Below are 20,674 nucleotides of genomic sequence, written 5' to 3' on the forward strand. Positions count from 1 at the left end.
AATATATGGATAGAAGGGAAATGTCAAATGCTGCAAATAGCAGAGCTAAATGGATTCATTTATTTAGCTTCAATTCTAATACTTGTTAAATGAATAAAGCATTGTATTCAGAACCCCTTCCTTAGAAGATCCCATACAATTGTGTCTGGCACAATACCCAGCCTACAACAGGCACTCCATAAATAGGAGTTATTATTGTTATTACTGTTATTATTATTACAGGCAAAAATGAATATAGTTATAATATGCACATTTATCTGGTGAATATAGGCCAGAACAAGATCACCAGAGTAAATGATTGTCCCCAGAGAAACCCACACGTATGGCACAAGTGGACTCCTTCCAGAGCTTGCCTGGCTTGGCTCTTAAATAGCTTTTGTTAAGCCTGACCCAAATCTCCAGGACTATAGTATCCAGTGCAGTAGCTACTAGCCACATATGGCATTTACATTTAATGAAAATTTAATAAAATTAAAAATTCATTTTTTCAGTTGCATGAGCCACATTCCAAGTGCTCAGTAGCCACATGTGGGTAGTGGCTACCAGGTTGGACACACGGAGAATATTTCTATGAGAAAGAGTTGTATTGGGCAGTGCCGCTCTAGGGTAAACCTTGCAAAGAACCTAGAATTTGGAACCTGAAGTCTGCAAAATGTAGGGGGAAAAAAAAAAAAAAGCAACTATGCAATCAAGTAAGTACCAGAGCTGTTGGTGGAAAACAATTAGCAAGGAACTGAAGAAGAACAAATTGAGCCCCGTAGATGCATTTTAAAGTCCTTGGCTTCTCTTGAGTGAATCCCATGGTTGGTAGAAATGGGCAGGCTAACTGGGAGCTTTATCTATTACCATTCAGCATTGCTCTCAGCATCCTGCAGAGAAAGCCATGGGTCCCAGGAAGCTGAAATGGAAGGAAAAACAAAAACAAAAACAAAAACAAAAACAGGGGATCATCCAGGAGAAAAGTAGTTTGTGGCAGAATGAATCTGGAACTATACGTTTTATCTTTAAAAAGTGTCCTTTTCAAACACAATGTGATTTGGGGGTTTCTTTAATGCTTCTGAATTTAATCATGCTTAGAAGGTGAGCAAACTCATTCCTGGTTACTCCTTCTTATGAGTAAGTTCCTAGTTATCCATCACATCATCATCATCATGAATTGTGTTACATTTATTAATGATACTCAATTAATCTCAAGAGTAACAAGAGGTGCATCTGTCTGAGTCTTCACAATGGCTAAAGATGCAACTAATGGCATTGCCTTCAGAATAAGTCACAAGAATTCAATACGTGTGATAGTATGTTGACATTCTGTCACAGAACCAGTGTGAAAATATAGGTGGCTTTTAAAGATAGTTTTCCTCCCTAAAAGTTTCTTAATTTCTTATTTTTTCAAACAATTTAAGTCACTTCAGTTAAGGAACATTGTAGCATTCTTGCCTTGAAAGATTCCTTCATGTGTAACCTCCCAGGGAATTTAAATATAGTAAACTTTGCTGAATTTCACTAAATTGAAAACTGAAATTGTCACTTATTGGAGAATGAAGTAGATTGTATGGTATTGTCAGCATATTAAATCTTGGGTGAACGTTATAAATATTATTGATTGCTTTTAAATTAGCGAAGTGTCTGCACATTCAATATCAATTCTAGCTCAATTTTTAGAAATCAAGAAATATATTAGAATCATAATGCTGACAGGGACCTCAAATGACAATCTTATCTTTCCTCTTAGACTCTAAGTCATGCTGGATAAAAATGATTCTGGAGGCTGGGCGCGGTGTCTCATGCCTGTAATCCCAGCATTTTGGGAGGCTGAGGTGGGTAGATTGCTTGAGCTCAAAAGTTCAAGACCAGCCTGGGCAACATGGTGAAACCCCGTATCTACAAAAAATACAAAAATTAGCTAGGTGTGGTGGCATGTGCCTGTAGTCTCAGTGACTTGGGGAGGCTGAAGTGGGAAGATTGCTTGAGGCTTGAGCCTGGAAGGTCGAGGCTGCAGTGAGCTGTGATCGTGCCACTGTACTCCAGCCTGGACGGCAGAGCAAGACCCTGTCTCAAACAAACAAACAAACAAACAAACAGGTCCTGGGAAGCTTGCTGTGAGCAGGAAGGAGGGATGGTGGAAAGACCACTGATTATGGACCCTATGACCTGTGCTCTCATCCCAGCTTTGCCACAGCTTTCCCCTAAATCCTTCAACGTCCCTGGGTCTCAGTTTCTTTATTGATAAAATGAGGGAAATGGACAACATAGTTTCATGGCACTTTCTAACTCTATCCGTTTTCTACTGCTCCATATAATTTATGTATTATAAATTACCACAAATTAATGGCTTGAAACAATTCCCATGAGGCCCCAGTTGGGTTCTCTGCATAGGGTCCTTTAAGACCAAAATCAAGGTGTTGGCTGGGTTGGCCTCTTACCTGAAGACTCTGGAGAATAATTAGTTTCCATTAAGGATTAGGTTCCTCATTGTTGTAGGATTAAGGTTGCTAACTTCTTGCTGGCTGCGAGTTAGGGGACACTGTTAGCTTCTAGAGGCCACTGACATCTCTTATCCTGTGGTCTTCTCCATCTTCAAGCCAGCAACAGCAGGTGAAATCCTTCTCATGCTTCTAATTCCTCTAGCTTTTTATCCTGTTACTAGCCCAAGAAAACACAGTGTTTTAAAAGGACTCATGTAATTAGGTTGGGCTCACCCAGATAATTTCCTTCTGGATTAAATAAAAGTCAATTGATTAGTAACCTTAATGACATCTGTGAAATGCCTTCTGCCACGTCATGTAACACAGTCAGAGGCATGATGTCTCATCGCCGTCACTGTTGACGGAATTAGGAATATCTTAGGGAACCATTCTGGAATTTTGCCTACCACATTAACTCTAAAAATCTTAGATTCTACATCTTCCAGGCCTGCAGAGAATGCTTTTCTATAAAGTTCTTTGCTTCTCTCTCTTCCATCTGGCAATCCTTTCCTGGTAACCAATGTTAGTTTTTCTTGCTGCAATTTAAACTCACTGCTGTCAGTCCTGCCTGTATTCTTCTGATCTTTTGAAATTTTCTGAAGTCAAGTTTTACCTTAGTCCACTCCTTAGTGCCAGGAGACAGTGGAACATTTCTAGAGCCTGTTGCTCATCGTAGCAGAGAACCAGTGCTTTCTCAGTGACATAGACAAAAGAGGCTGACCTGGCAGGATGGAGAGCAGTGGTTTAAACTGGTAGATGCTTACATGGACTGCTGTCTAAGAAGGGGCAATGTAAGAAGGGGCAATGACATCTTCTCATGTACTTAACAGTGGGCCACAGATGAAAGGCACAGGGACGGTGCAATCCTGCCTTCATGCTTAGTGTCAGCCTTTCTTCTGTTGAGGGCATTTGTAAGGAGCCATTTTAAATGAGGTTGGCCTTTCCTCAGTCCAGCCCCTTTGTGGGATTTCAAGTGACTTAGATGGTTCTGAAAATACTTTTTTATGATGATTTTTATTATATAAATAAATGAAATAAAATCCGAAAGTACAGATGGTCCAGTAGATGAAAATAAAAATCACCTCAATCTCATAATCCAGGGGAAAACACCATTAATATTGGCTTGTGTATCTTTCTAGATATCATTCTATGGCATGTGCACAAATTAAGTTTTAAAATGATATTGTGCAACACTTACAATTTATAGTGAAAACTTTTCATGTGGATGGAGATACTTCTTTTTTAAAAGTTACAAACACAGTTTATTATAACAGCAATACAGTAAAACAAACATTTTAAACATAGGAAAAGAAAGAAAAAAGCATGTATATTCTCACCCTAATACACAGATTTACTTACATTTTGATGATGTTTCAGTTTGCCTAAGCATTTTAAAAAGCCCTACTTGATAAAGATATTTCCATGACATTATTTTTATATGGCTGGCTTCTAATATTTGATCTTATGAATACATTGGTATTTCTTCAATTATTTTTGCTGAACATTTAGGTTGTTTCCATTTCTCACTGTTGTAAAAAATGCCTCAGGGAACATCTGTGTAGCTAGATTTTTTAGCATATTCTTAGTTACTTAGGAGAAGCTTCTAGGCATGAAACTGTTTGGGCAGAGTAAGCATACATATTGAAATCTTTTGAAATATATTGGTGATGCCTTCCAATTGTATGATGCCCATTAACTAATATGGTGTTATGGAAAGAACATGGTTTTATAGTGGGAAGATGGGCTGGAGTTGCTCTTTGATTATATAATTTTGATCAAATCAATTTTCCTGACCATCTCTAGCCTCACCTGTAAAATGGGACTCATAATATTCACTCTATCTACTTCAAAGAATTATTATGCAGGTAAAGCGAGATGGTCTATGGGGAAAGTACTTTGAAAATTATAAAGTGATGAAAAAATAGTCATTCATTTATCACTTGTGCTAAGCGGAGTCAGTGGTCTTCAAGTACATAGTCTGCCAAATCCCACTGAATTACACCTCTTTTGAGAATGTTAGATCATACTAACATCCCCCAAAAGTGCACTGTGGTTTTGATGACACTCCAGTGGGTATGTCACTGGCCCTATTCCTGCTGCTGAAGTGTGCTTCCAAACTTGTGTGCCAGTTTCTTTTCTTGCACAAGAAAGTCTGGAACTTGGGAAGTCTATTCTGTGTGGTTATTGTATTTATTTGTTTTTTTGTCACCTTGTTTTTTCAAGTTGGCTATTCACTCATTCCCCTGCTGATCTATTATGTTCTCTATGAGATTGTCTTTATTGGTACTCATAGGTGGCACTTAGCACTCATATGGCACTTTTCATCTTGAAAGCACTTTACAGACATTAGCTAATTAATTTTCACATCACAGCATGATAGGTAGGTAGGGAGCTAATCTAAGCATTTGAGCTATGGCGATGAAAGTTGTGTTACAAGTACAATAAATTACTTTTTATTATTCTTTGGAGGAGGAAGAGATGGTTATGTAATTTGTCCCAAATCACAAAAGGCATTTATATCAGAGTTGAAATTCAAGCCTAGTCTGATGAAGTTAGTCATATCACAGGCCCCCTTATGGGTTCTGATCAGCTTGCTCACAAAGATGGTATTATGGGAGGGAAACCAACCAGCTGGCTTTCCTTTCTCCTCTGCACAGGGAGCAACATTACTGGCACTTGAGCCCCTTTCTTCTTTCCTTTTGGAATGATGGCACTTATTGAGATGAACCTGCTGAGAAGTTTGAAAATATTTTAGAGAAGTCTCCAAGTTTATGAGGGAGAAGGAGGCTCTACCCCTTGAGAGGGCAAATATGGTTGGATTATAATTTGCTTTTGAAATCTAAGAGTGTTTCTAATTGGTACAATGAAAATATCACCCTTGCTTGGGAAGATGGGAAAATAGAAGGGGTAAAAATCCCTTGGCTTGGCTTTCATGAGTTTTACCATTAGGGACCTTAGAATGGAGAGGGAGGGCAGGAAGCACAGAACCCAAAAGTACTGGCCTTGAAATTTGCTCTTGTCCTAGCTTCCCTAGAGCTAATAGAGATTGCACAACTTCCCTAGATCTTGGGGATGCCAATCAGAGTCTCCAGAACTGATTTTAGAAAGGGGAGAATACTAGAAAATCTGATTATAATGAAGAAAAGGAGCTTGGTCAGGATTCTCCAGAATTCTCCTTCCCAAAGAGTCCATGGATGGAACTCAGGCAGGGATGGGCTCTGAACCCCCAGGCATTCTCTTTTCAATGACATAATTGAAGGTAATTTGAGGATCAAATTATTGTAGGAAAATATTTGATTTCGTTTCCTGTGCCCTGAAATGCGGTCAAGACTTGCAACTTTGAGACTGGAATTTGCTGGTTTTGGTGGTCGTGGTGTGGTGGTAGTGGAGGAAGAAGCCAGCAAGAACAAGTTCTGATGTTTGATCCATTTGGCAATAGCTCTCCTCTGATAGTCAGATTTCCCGGGTCTCTATAATTTCCCATGGCAGTGGGTGTCAGTCTGAACACCTAAGCAGATGGCCTAAATCAGAGGGGAGATTTGACATTTAGCTGTTAATTCATTTTATGATATGGGCTGTCATGTATTATACATGAAGTAAATAAAAGTGATGGACTAATTATGGAAACGTGCACAGCTTTCTAATTACTCTTGGATTATATGTTTAATATTTTGAAGTATTCCAATTACAGGGAGATTTGTCACTGCAGAAAACATTTTTTTATTTATTTGTGGAATTCCAACATCCTCTGCAGGGAATGGAAGCTCAGTTAATTTTTTTCTGTTAAGTTAATGAACATCCTAGATTTTTCAACACAACTGGGATTTTAAAAAAAAGGTTGAATCATATTTTAGACATATATTTTTGACAACCTATTTCACAGTTGAGTGGCCTCCCCCTCCCTATCTGGGATTCTGGCCCACTTTCAAATAGTAGATCCACATTTGTTGTCATAAAAGGGCAATCTTGGCCAGGCACGGTGGCTCCCGTCTGTAATCCCAGCACTTTGGGAGGCCAAGGTGGACTGACTGCTTGAAGTCAGGAGTTCAAGACCAGCCTGGCCAACATGGTGAAACCCTGTCTCTACTAAAAATACAAAAATTAGCTGGGCATGGTGGTGTGCACCTGTAATCTGAGCTACTGAGAAGGCTGAGGCAGGAGAATCTCTTAAATCCGGGAGGCAGAGGTTGCAGTGAGCAGAGATTGTGCCACTGCAATCCAGCCTGCGTGACAGAGTGAGACTCTGTCTCCAAAAAAAGGGCAATCTTGTCATTTTAAAAACATCATTTCTGGTTAATTCAAGATCTGTAACTTGTTTTAGTCTATTAACTTTATCATAGTTCTTTCAAGAGACATTTGATTGGTAGAGGAATGGATCAACACAGCAAAATGGTCTAACATTATCCAAAGGTCTAGTTAAAAATTATCTATTTAAAAGAAAAACAGAAGCAAATAAGTTCTTTAAAGTTTAAATTCACAGTTATGAGGAACACTGGCAATATTTGGAAACTACAGGGTTGTCTTACTTTGTGCCTAAATACAATAAAACTACCTTTTGTTTTGTTTTGAATTAATAAGCTAATTTATGCTAATTACATAAAAAGAGACATTTTTTCTCAATTGTATAAAAATTTGAAGTTTTATAAAGATGGAAATTTTTTGTTTGCTCTTTAGTTTAAGATAATTATTGTCTAATACAGAGCTCACAAATTTTATTTTGATCTTTTGCAAAGAGCCAGCTTCATACAATGGAGCATAGTAGCTTTATTACAAAAGCAAATGCTACGCATTTTATGGTTTGAGCATTATATTCATAAATAGTGACATTTGTTTCATATGCTTATCTCTAACCTCATTCCAAAAAAATCACTTGAGACAGCTTATATGAATAATAAACCAAAATAGGCAAATTACAAATGAGTAATTTTTTCAGAAACAGGGAACCATAGAAATAGAAACTTAAAACTTGGGGAAGAGTTTGAACATAAAGAAGAGTACACAGTGGCCAAAGATAAGCCACAAATTGGCCCTACCTGTCTTGGTGTCCCAATGAAAAAGGGAAGCAAGATTAGTTCTTTAAGACAAATGATCTACAAGGAACAAACATATCTGTTCCTCAGGGCAAATAAAGCTTTGTTTCCTGCTAATTCAATTGTTTATATTAGTATAATATAATATTACTATATTAGTATACTTTTTTTGAAATAACTCTATTTTGTGTGTGTGTGTGTGTGTGACTTTTGTTCTATCACAAAACCCAAGCGTGGTGACTTAAAATAACAAACACTTATTATTTCTCTCTATTCCATGGATTGACTGGGAGGTTCTTTTGGTCTGCGCTGGTTTGGCTGGGGCTGGATGGTCTAGGATGGTCTCACTGGGAATTCTGAAAGTAGTGGACCCTATGTCTGCATGCTCTGTCATCCTCCAGAAGGCTAATCCAGGCTGCTTCACATGGTGGCAGGAAGGTTCTGGGTAGCAAGAGAGAGCAAACTCCAATAAGCAAGCACTTTCCAAGTCTCTGCTTATATCATATTTGCCAATGTCCTCTTGGCCAAAGTAAGGCACATGGCCAACACAGATTCAAGGAATGGAGAAAGACATTGTCCCTCTTGATGGCAAGCATTGCAAAGTCACATTACAAAGGGACATGAATGGAGAGAGGAAAAGAATTTTTGTGGCTGTTTTTGCAAACAATCTGGCATAATTGGGAAGATTGGGAAACAATCTTTCTCTTCAGCATGCCCCATTGATCATTAAGGCTGAGCCTAGGCCTGGAATAGAGAAGAAGGACATTGTGTCAGCTATCAACTTGTTGCCTCTCGCCTGTAAATGCGCTCTTCTGTATATATGTTTTGTGATAACCAGTGAAATTCCTTTAAGCATTTCTTCTGAAAGTGAGCAGGATGGTAAGCTTTCTCAGCAGAGGGCACTGGAAGGACGCTGCATGGGACAGAGGATTCCTGCAATTTCTACCAGGCCTGGAGGTCAGCAGTGTGTGTATAAGGACACTCCATAGATCCTGTACTAACCACAGGTCTAGAACACACTCACTCTGTGACTTTGCCTTCTTGGCCTGGTAATAATTTTTCCTCAGCCCTCTTTATATGGAAACCAGAAACTTAACACAATCCACAAAAAACTGCATAGGGGGCCTAGAGAGTCACAGACTGAGCTGTTATTTCTTCTGCAAGCAACCACTCCTCTCACCACCCTGTGCAGCCAATACACTCTGAAAGCCTCTGCCCCTGTCCCTCCAGCACCCGGACTCCCACTGTGCACCCATGTTTCTGGTTGCTGATAGTCTGCTCCGCTTTCCACAGCATTGCCTGGTGTTTGCCCAGCAACTCTAGACCAGCTCTGGCCTGGCTAAGACAGCAAGCTTTTCTGCCAGGCAAGCACAGAAGCACACGTTCTCCAGTGAAGTCTGAACCCCTTCCAAGTTTGTCGTTCTTTGGGTAGTCTCCCTCAGCACTAGGGTATCATACAGAGTTTTCTTTTATAGTTATTTAATCATAGATACTAATTCTTACATTTAATTTCCTGTTTAACCTACTGTGTGGTTTCCATCTCCTGACTGGACCAGACTGCTATCGACATGATATAGAGAAAACAATAAGAATGACACAATGGATTCTGGGGACTCAGGGGGAAAGGATGGAAAAGGGGTGAGGGATAAATGACCACAAATGGGGTGCAGTGTATACTGCTCGGGTGATGGGTGCAGCAAGGTCTCACAAATCACCGCTAAAGAACTTACTCATGTAACCAAACACTACCTGTTCCCCCAATAATCTATGGAAATAATTTTTTAAAAAGGATTCAATTAGGCTGTGAGTTACAGAAAAAACAAAAATAACAGTGGTTTAAACAAGATGAAAATTTTTTCTCTTTCATATAAAAAGAAGTATAAAGTTGATCCCTCCAGGACTAATAGGACAGCTCTGTCTGTATTGCTAGGCTCTGTCTATGTGGTTGCTCTGCTGTGCTCTACAAGTGGCTTTTACCTTAAAATTGCTGCTTACACATCAGCCATCATATCCACATTCTAGCAAGACACAGGAGGAGAAGGTGAAATGCACATCCTCTTAGTGATTCTTAGTGAATCTCAGGTCTTTTATGAAAACTGTTAAAAAAAAAAAAAAAAGAATCTCTTGTGGTTGGATCTAGGGTTGTGAGGCTAATGAGTGCAACCTCCTTGCCATGATGGGAGAAAGCCTGTCTGAGAATGGAACCAACCCAGAAGAAGCAGTGCTCTTAAACCCAGGGAAAAAAACACGGTTCTTGTGACATCATTTCATCCCCTGCCTCAAACTATAGCCAAAGCCAAGAAGTACTCTTGGATTTTTAAAATTACATGAGTGATTATAAATTTAGGCCTTGACACAGAAAGACAAACATCACATGTTCTCATTTATTTCTGGGATCTAAAAATTGAAACAATTGAAGTCATGCAGATAGAAAATAGAAGGATGGTTACCAGAGGCTCAGAAGGGTAGTAAGGCGGAAGCGATGGTGGGGAGGTGGGGATGGTTAATGGGTACCAAAAAAATAGTTAGAAAGAATGAATACGACCAGTATTTGATAGCACACTAGGAGGACTATAGTCAATAATAATTGTACATTTAAAAATAACTAGAAGAGTATAATTGGATTGTTTGTAACATAAAGGATAAATGCTTGAGGGGATGGTTAGATACCCAATTTTCCATGATGTGATTATTAAGCCTTGCATGCATGTACCAAAATAACGGAGGTACCCTATAAACATATACACCTACTACGTACCCACACAAATTAAAAATAATTTTTTTTTTAAAGAGAGAAAACAGACAAGCTGGAGACTGCCTTCATTCCTCCTGGTGAACAAGTGGGCAAATCAGATACATAGAAAGGCAAGGGAGGAAGAAGGGAAATGGAGGTAAAGGGAGGTGATCATTTCTTTTCTCCTTTTTCCAAGGGCAAAAACCAGGGGACAGGTTTGGGCCATCAATCTGCTTGGTCGATATGAATAATTGGAACTCTCATACAATATTGTCGAGTGTGTCATGGCAAAAACTCCTGGACAAAAGTCTGGCATTTGTCTTTTTTTTTTTAATGAAACTACAAATATGAATATTCTATGACCCAGGAATTCACCCAGAGAGAAATGAAAACATGTCCACAAAAAGGTTTGTCTAGGAACGTTTGGAGGAGCTTTTTCATAATAAGCCTAAACGAGAAATAGCCCAGGTGGCCATCAGTAGGAATATTAACGAAAGGTGGGATGTTCATATACTTAAACGCTCTTTAGTAGTAAAAGGGGATAGATTCTTAATACATGCAACAACATGGAGAAATCTCACACACATCTACCCATCCCCCCTCCATCCTCTCATCTTATTTTTGATGTATTTCAAAGTAAATTACAGATTTACATACACTTCCCCCTAAATAGTTTGGCATACTCATGATTAGTCTGATTTATTCTTCATTATGTGAAAGAAAGCTTATGAAAAAGAACACATAGTGCCAGGCACGGTGGCTCACGCCTGTAATTGTAATCCCAGCACTTTGGGAGGCCAAGGCGGGTGGATCACCTGAGGTCGGGAGTTCGAGACCATCCTGACTAACATGGAGAAACCCCGTCTCTACTAAAAATACAAAAATTAGCTGGGCATGGTGACACGTGCCTGTAATCCCAACTACTTGGGAGGCTGAGGCAGGAGAATCTCTTGAACCCAGGAGGCGGAGGTTGCAGTGAGCCGAGATCGCGCCATTGCACTCCAGCCTGGGCAACAAGAGTGAAACTCCATCTCAAAAAAAGAGGACACATAGAGTATTATTTCAAATGAAGTTCTAGAGAAGGCACAACTAATCTAGGTTGGATAAAAATGAAAAATTTGTTGCCTCTGGGGAGCCGGAGCTGGGGATTGAGTAGGAGGGGACATGAGGGAACCTCCTGGGGTGGTCATAATGTTCTGGTATCTTGATTGATAGAAATTTGGGTAACACAAAGGTATGTACATATGAGCATTTGTCAGCATCCATAAATGTATGCTTTAGATTTGAATATTTAATTGCATATAATTTCTTACATAAAAATGTAAACAAATATAGCTAGTTAATGAAAAGTATGCTGAAGCATTTAGGGAGTGGTATACAGGTATCTGCAATTTACTTTTTGAAATACATCAAAATAAGAGATTGATGGATAGACAATGAGTTGAATAGAAGGATAGATTATATGATAAAAAGAAAGTATTCTTAAATGTCGATGGCAGTAACTGACCGGTAGGTATGTAGATATTCAATGTAAAATTCTTCCAACTTTGATACATGTTTAAAATTGTCATAAGAGAACATCTTTTTTAAATGCTCAGTTAGGTATGGGGTGCTACAGAGCACTCATTCTAAGAGCATGCTTTCCCCTGCTACTTGGGGGAAGGCTGCGGGTCATTAGGACAAGAGACTTGCACAGCGGTTTCGGCATGATATAAGTTTTGGGTGTTCACTAGCCCCAGGAAATGGGTAGATAGAGTGCTCTAAGGCAGTGCTCCTGGAGCATCATGCTTTGAGTGTGATGTTCTTGTCATACAGAATTTTTCAGTGCCCCAGGATGGAGACATGGAGGTGCTGAAGTTGCTTGTGAATGACAGAGATCTGGGGTCAGGCTGAAGAGGCCATCATGAGTGGCAATGAAACTGGGAGCAAAAGGCTAAGGCTTAGAACAAAAGGCCCCAGCAGTGGGTGTTAGCATGATGTTCAAGAGCTAAGGATCAAGCAGTTCTCAGGGGTCACTTGTCCATTCACTCATTCATTCAATAACTATTTCTTGAGCAGCTACTATGTGCTAAACAGTGCTCTAGGTTCTGAGGATACAGTAGTCAACAAAATAGATATTCGAAAAGTCTTGCCTGGACATGGTGGCTCACACCTGTAATCCCAGCACTTTGGGAGGCCGAGGTGGGCAGATCACCTGAAGTCAGGAGTTCGAGACCAGCCTGGCCAACACGGTGAAACCCCATCTCTACCAAACATACAAAAATTAGCCAGGCTTGGTGGTGCACACCTGTAATCCCAGCTACTCAGGAGGCTGAGGGAGGAGAATTGCTTAAACCTGGGAGGCAGAGGTTGCAGTGAGCCGAGATCGGGCCACTGCACTCCAGCCTGGGTGACAAGAGCAAAACTCTGTCTCAAAAAAAAAAAAAAAAAAACACAAAAAGTCCTGATGAGGGAGAGAGGAAACGACAAACAAATAAATAAGTAAATAGGAAATATGTCAGATGATGATAGATACTATAGAAAAAATAAAGCAAGGAAAGGTAAAAGGGAGTATCAGAATAGGAGAATTAGTATTATATGCAGAGTGGTCTGGGAAGAACTCACACATGAGGTGATACTTAAGCAAAGACCTGAAAAATATAAAGGAGTATTTCTTATAGCTATATTAAGGAGCTATCTTACTTTAGGGCTAAAGCAGCAAGTGCAAAGTCCCTGGGACAGAATTTTGCTTGCCATCTTTGTGGAAGAGTTAGGAGATCAGTTTGACCTGAATCAACATAAAGAAAGTAATATGAGATCAGAGAGATTGTAGGGGACCAGAGATGAAAAGGACTTAAAGACTTTTACTTTGAGTAAGATTGAACACCATTGGAGCATTTGAGCAGAGGCATGAACATCAGAAATAACATTATTTGCAATTTTAAAAAATTGTAAATAGACTGAAGGGCAAGAGTCTAGGCAGGAAGGCCAAGTATGAGCCTTTGGTTAATCCAGATAAGGAAGAATGGGGGTTTGGACCAGGTGGAAGAGCAGATAGGAATTAGTCAGGTTCTCAATACATTTGAAGGCAGAGCCAATAGCATTTACTTACCAGTAGAGGTGGGATCAGAGAGAAAGAAAGGGATTGAGAATGATGTCAAGGTTTATGGCCTGGGCTCCCGGAATGAAAGATAAATGCTATGGCAAGGATATAGGAATTTGGGGGGACAATCAATAATTTAGGATTGGACATGTTGAGTCTGAGATGACACTTAGTCATCTAATTAAAATTGTCTAGTAGGATATTGAACAAATGTGCCTGGAATTCAAAGGAGAGGTCTGGTCTGTAGATATAAGTTTGAGAGTGATTGCATGTAGAAGCTGGTAAGATCAGCTAGGGAGCATGTGAGATTAGCAGCAACCGGGCAAAGAGACTGAGGAGGGTAGGCAAGTGAGGAGAACTGCAAAGGATGGCTAGATGCCACATGAGGGAATTTCTCAAAGGACAAGAGGGTCATCAATCATGTCAAATGCTGCCGATGGTCCGGGGAGCAGAGTGCAACCTTGCCCAGCCACTCTGCAACAGATCAAGAAGGATCCATCCTGGGGACACAGTGTGTATCCACGACATTTCATGTAAAATACTCCCTCTCTCAGTTCTCCATATCCAGTCACCCTTTGGAAGGAGCATGACAATGTTGAAAAGATGATATACCAAAACCCAGTGTTTAGTGAAAGGGACTGCTTAAATCATTTTATTAGATTAGCTTTACCTGTCTGATTAAAGTTTCCACCTAGCAAGAGGGAGCTCAGAGGAAAGGATGATGTATTGAAAAAAATAAAATTAAATAAATAAGTAATGGGGCTACATTTTCTTTGCACATGTGCATGTGTGATAAGTAATTAAGTAACCTCACCCCATTAATAGTCACACTCTGAAAAGTCTATAGCTACTTTGACATTCTTTAGAGTTCTTTCTTTCTCTCTTTCTTTTCCTTCCTTCCTTCTTTCCTTCTTTCTTTCCTTCCTTCGTTTCTTTTCTTTTCTTTTTTCTTTCTTTCTTTCTTTCCTTCTTTTCCTTCCTTCCTCCTTTCCTTTCCTTCCCTTCCCTTCCCTTTCCTTCCCTTTGCCTTTCCCTTTCCCTTTCTCTCTCTCTCTCTTTCTTTCTTTTTCTCTGTCTCTCTCTCTCTTTCTCTCTTTCTTTCCTTCCTTCAGTCCTTTCTTTCTTTCTTTCTTTCTTTCTTTCTTTCTTTCTTTCTTTCTTTCTTTCTTTCTTTCTTTCTTTCTTTCTTTCTTTCCTTCTTTCTTTCTTGTCCCACTCCATTGCCCAGGCTGGAGTGCAGTGATGCAATCTCAGTTCACTGCAACCTCCACCTCCCAGGTTCAAGTGATTCTACTGCCTCAGCCTCCCAAGTAGCTGGGATTACAGGCATGCATGCCCGACTAATTTTTTCTATTTAACAGAGACAGGGTTTCACCATGTTGGTCAGGCTGGTCTTGAACTCCTGACCTCAGGTGATCCGCCCACCTCAGCCTCCCAAAATGCAGGGATTGTAGGCGTGAGCCACTGCACCTGGCCTTGAGTTCTCTACTTCTTATTAGCCAATCGCTTCTTACTACAATCCCCTGCTACAGTTAATACTTCTTTTTGTTAACATTTTCCTGTTAAAATTACTGTATAACTTTGATCTCCTGATTGGACCAAGACTCATGTGGTGTCCCCCCAAAACCCTCCAGATTCATAGTGATTTCCCCAGAGGCCATGGCTGAGCTACAGACTGCACTCCTTTTCCTTTCCTTCAATCCAACCACTTGATTTTAGTGGGGGCCATCCACTGTGGTTCCCAACCTCCTCGTGATTAGTTCATAGAGAAAGTATCAGCCCAAAGCTGTCCAGTCTTTCCTGTGTGTTTTTTTTTTTTTTTTTTTTTTTTGAAACGAGCTGGTGTGATGGAAACATTCTACATTAAGGTTGCAAAAAAAAAAGAAGGTTGCAGTAGTGGTTATGCATGGATGTATAAATTTGTCAATGCTGACTGAAATGTATACTTATAATGGGTGCATTTTAAGCGCTCTATATCTCAATATAGTTACTTTAAAAACAGAACAAAACCTTGTGCTCTGGGGTTGAAACTAAGGATACAAACTGCCTGGGGCAGCCAGCCTTGTGGGGAAGGCCAGACTGAGAGAAGGAAGCTGAGATACACAGAGGTAAAGATGAGGGCAAGTTTGTGGGCTCTGGTCTCTGGTTCCTTTTGTATTCCAAGAGTGGATTTACCCCTTTCTTTTCTGCTATTTGTTCTTCTGTTCTAATACATTCTCTTTTTGCATAAACTAGCTCAATTCAAGTTTCCGTTGCTTGTAACAGAAACTAAAAATATCTAATACAGAAAGAAAAGGTCATTGCAGGCTGAGCTAATTAAGGTGAGCAGACTTTATTTCGGAGCTGGATTTTATAGGGTGCACAGAGCAAAGGCAGAAAGGCCCCGTAGGTAACAATGTTAAGAAAGCACAGTGGAGAATAAGGATAAATTTGGCATTTGTGGGGTTAGGCAGATTATAGCAGTTCAGAGGAGGGACTTTGAAATCAGATGGATTTGGGTTTAACTCTTAGCTTTGCTTTTTTGCAAACCAGCATCCTGGTAATTAGAGACAACCCAAGGTCTCTGAGTGTCAGATAGTTGTCGCAAGGTTTAAATGAGATTAAGTATTTAAACCATCAAAATGACTAGCATAGTAATAAAAATGATAGTGAAAATAATAGTGGTACTTATTCATGCTTTTGATGATTGGGAAATAATACTTTAAAAATACAAATATTTAATTACAAAATAATAATTGGTAAAATTGTCCTCAATGCCCTGGGAAAATTCTTAACCAAATTGCAATCACTTAGAAAAGAAGTAGGTGATTCCTGAGATCAGTAAGGGCTCACCAAGAACAGGTCATGCCAAATTCACTTCCTATCCCTTTTGTTAGTTTTATAAAACAGAGGGAATAGGGGGATGCTATTGACATGGTCTGTCCATTTTAGAAAGGCACAGGATAAGGAGATCGTATAGCTTGACTTGGATATTTTCAGTCAGGAGAACCTCCCCTTTTTTACGGAGTATCCCAGGTTTCTTGTCAGCTACATCCAACGTTTAGAAAGCCTTTCCTTATCTGGACCTGAAATTTCTATACTGGTGTTTTAGTTCTACTGTTTGGAAGTGCACAAAAAAAGATTGGTTCTTCTTTCTTTTAGTACTTGAAGTTTAAGTTTCCTCTTCGTCTTCCTTCAGATATTTTCTCCTCTGTTATCTCAATCCTCAGTTCCTCACATTGCTGTTCATTTAAAATAATTTCTAAACATGTCTAGTGTCTTCCCTTCTGTCTTGGTCTGTTCTCATGCTGCTAATAAAGACATACCCCAGACTAGGTAATTTATAAAGGAAAAAGGTTTAATTGACTTACAGTTCCACATGGCTTGGGAGGCTTCACAATCATGGTGAAAGACGAAGGAAGAGCAAAGGGAATGGGATATCTTACACGGTGGTAGGCAAAGAGAGAGCTTGTGCAGGGGAATTTCCGTTTATAAAACCTCAGATCTGGTGAGACTTACTCACTATAACCAGAACAGTGTGGGATAGACCCACCCCCCTGATTCAATTACCTCCCACCGAGTCCCTCCCATGACATGTGGGAATTATGGGAGCTACAATTCAAGATGAGATTTGGGTGGGGACACAGCCAAACCATATTACCTTCAGTGCTTTATTGTACCATGTCCCTCTTAGAATTGATAGTGATATTTCTGATGTTTTTTAGACCTATGCACATTACAGAAGGACTGACACCTGGGATGCAATAATATTTTCATCTTTTGTTTTCAATACTATGAACATTTTAAAGGAGCTATGTGACATTCTTAACTCAGTTTGAACTTGAGAAAAACAAAATTCAGCTACACCCTTTAAAATATACCTATTACTGTGCTATACCTATTGATTTTTTTAAAATCTAAAATGTAGGGTTTTACCATTATCCTTCTTATTAGTTTTAGCACAGTAACCTAACCTGTCAAAATCTTGATCCTGTCCTCTGTCATTTTAGCTATCTCTCCTGGCTTCATTTCATCCCCAAATTGGATTTGCATGATCCTACATTATAAGCCACTGACAGATGTGTTGAATAGGACAGAACCAAGTATGGAGCCCTGAAGCATGTCATGAAGACTTCCTTTTGCATTGACTTCGTTTTACTAATTGGTCCTCTTTCAGTAAAAGGTTTCAACCAGCTAAAAATTTTTCTTATTTGCACTCTGGTCATCTTCTCATGTGGCTGTCAAGAAATACTTTGAAGTTATAAGAAGAACCTAGATTCTAGATGTATTAGTCAGGGTTCTCCAGAGAAACAGAAGCAACAGGATGGGTGTTTTGTGTGTGTGTGTGTGTGTGGTGTGTGTGTGTGTGTGTCTGTGTGTGTAGAGAGAGAGCGAGAGAGAGAGTTTTTTTTGTTTTGTGTTGTTTTGTTTTTATTGGTTTATGTGATTGAGGAGGCTTGGTAAGTCCAAAATCTGGGGTAGATGGGCAGGCTTGAGATTCAGTAAAGAGTTGCAGGTTGAGTCCAAAGGCCACCTACTGGCAGAATTCCTTCTTGCTGGGGGGAGATCAGTCTTTATTCTATTCAGGCTTTCAACTCACTGGATGACTGAGCCCCCCAACTAACCACCTCCCCCATTATGCAGGATAATCTGCTTTACTGAAAGTCCACTGATTTATATGTTTAACACATACCTCCCCCCCGCAAAAAAAACCCCATAAACATCCAGAAGAGTGTTTGATAGAATATCTGGGCACTGAGGCTGTTATGGACTGAATGTATGTGTCCCCCTCAAAATTCGTATGTTAAAATTCTAACCCCCAAGCTAATGGTATTTGGAGGTAGGGCCTTTGGGAAATAATCAGGTTTAGATACGGTCATGAGATAAGGCCCCATGATGGAATTAGTGTCTATATAAGAAGTTTGAAGTGACAAATCTGTACTTCCTCACCTCACTGTATGAGGACACAATGAGAAGGCAGCTGTCTGCAAGCCAGGATGAGAGCCCTCACCAGAGGGAAGCATAGGAGGACTCTGATCTTGGACTTCCCAACCTGTAGAACTGCGAGAAATAAATTTCTGTTGTTTAAGCCACTCAGTGTGTGGTATTTTCTTATGGTGGCCCAGGCTAACTAAGATAGCGGCCCAGCTAAGTTGACACATAGCATTAATCATTGCACTGAGGTTAGACACATCCGGCCTGCCATGAAGAATTGTTCAGGCTGTAATCTTCACAAAGGCACTCTGCTGAGGAGTGGGTGGGCACTGCACAATAGTCAGTGTGCCATGTACCCAGCCATGCACTTTGGACTAGGACAACATCTACTTGCAGGAAAGGGACACTTTGTTTAAATTAGTACATAGACATAGTCTATGCGCCAAGCCACGTACACTCGGCCACATTTGTCTAATTTGCACAAAGCCTTAGTATAGGCAAGTTTTGGTCTCACATCTAGCTTCTAATTCTGACTCAGCTTCTTAGTGGCTATATGACCTTGGGCAAAGTCATTCATTTCTATGAAGCCAATTTTCCTCATCTGTAAAATGGGTATATGTACCTGGTTCTGAGAGTTAGATCAAATGAATTAACATGTATGAAATCCCTGGCTGGCCTAGTGTCTGGCACATAGTAGTGGAAATGGTAGTCAGGGTGATGATGTGGTACGTTTTTCTGATCTACAACCTAGTATTCCCTTCAGAAATAATCCGTTAGCATGTTCTTAATTGCAAATTTTCTTCCTTTCTTGGCTTAACTGTGGATTGCACTTAGAAACCTTGGCTGATCTGGATGACCACAAGGGCTGCTTTCCAAATGTTTAAAAAGCAAGAGATTGAGATATTGAAATTATTTGTCTGGCTTAGGCAAGGACAGTCAGAGTCAGGGGACAGTGAGACAGGCCTATGAGTTCCTATTGCCCGGAGCACACAGCTGGCAAGTCTAATTTTAAGTCCTTGCTGAAGTCCCTTTTGATGCTCATAAATGCAGAATATCCTATTTTATCAAAACAGTGAATTCTAGAGAGACGGTAAACAGATGACATCCATGCAGCCCTCCCAAGCAGAACAGAACACACGGTCACTAATAATGTTTGTAAATAAATGAATAAATTGTACAGAGAAATGCAGGATTGGGAATGGATAAAGCATAGAATTTTTTTTCCTCTTAATTAAAAGGACTTGGCTGACTTAAAACACCAAAGCTTAGTTTGCCTTTGTGAAGGAAGGATTTGGAATCAAGTGTTAAATCTCTGCTGGTAATTCCATGGCTGCTTGAAGTCTCAAATACATCATGTTTTTTAGTTTGACACCTCACTCCAAAAAAGAGAAAATGCTTAGTATAAATCAATTGTAAATGGCTATAAAATGGGAAAACCTCTTACATGGCTTGATTTTTTATAAAAGTCACAGTTTGGAAAGTATCTGAGAATGTGATTCCTTTATAGAGGATGTCCCTATTCCAACAGATTCTGTTCCAGATGAATTTTAAAATTTTCCTAACAGAGCATGTCAGCATCCTTACCATCCTTCTTCTTGTCCCTCTCTTCCTCTTCTCTACAGAAAAGCAGAATTGACAGTGACAGTCGTGTCTGTGTACACCTGGCAGAAAGAAAACCAGAGGCTCATAAAACGATGAAGGCTGTTTTCTTTTCAATAATTCCTCTGTATGCTTAGCTTTCTCCCCCTCCACCTGTAGCCAGGTCTTCCTGGGTATATGAAGGAAGGAAGGATGGTAGGAAAGAGAGAGAGAAAGAGTGGGAAAGAGAAAGGGGAAAAGGAACAGAAGAGAAAGAGATTAGTGGTAGACCTAATGGCAGGATAAAAGGGAAAGAGGAGGATGGGTTCCCTGGCCTTTTGCTGGTGTCTATTGAGCAGGTCTGATTCTGTGATAATGTATCAAGGGGTAGAAAGAACTTTGTGCGTTGGATGAAATTTCTGCTTCTGTTGCTTTAATTGGCCCTTAGCTCCTGAGGCTCTCCATTGAGTCAATTCCTTCTAAGCCATAGATAATAGAATTACAGCCTCAAACCAAACCAAACCAAACCAAACCAAACCAAACCAAACCAAACCAAACCAAACAAAAACCCTTTGATGTTGTCCAGTTCATTTTGTGGAGAAAAGGACAAAGGCCTTGTTAGGGATGACTCAGCCAAGGTCATTCAGCCAGCTGTGGCTGCAGCTGCACTAGACTCCATTTCCAGAAATCAGTGAAGAGCTTTTGCTTTTGTCACTGCTGATGCAAAGGCTCTGCACGCAGCTCACCGTTCCCATGATCTCTAGTTTGATGTCACTTTGAAGTTTCCTGAAAATATGACAAATGCCAATTGGCTTGTACATTAATTTACTTTTCTTATGTCTTTCCAGGAGGCTGAGGAAACAGGCAGTCA

This window comes from Homo sapiens, chromosome 12 (genome assembly GCF_000001405.40).
Source record: "Homo sapiens chromosome 12, GRCh38.p14 Primary Assembly".
Lineage (NCBI taxonomy): Eukaryota > Metazoa > Chordata > Mammalia > Primates > Hominidae > Homo > Homo sapiens.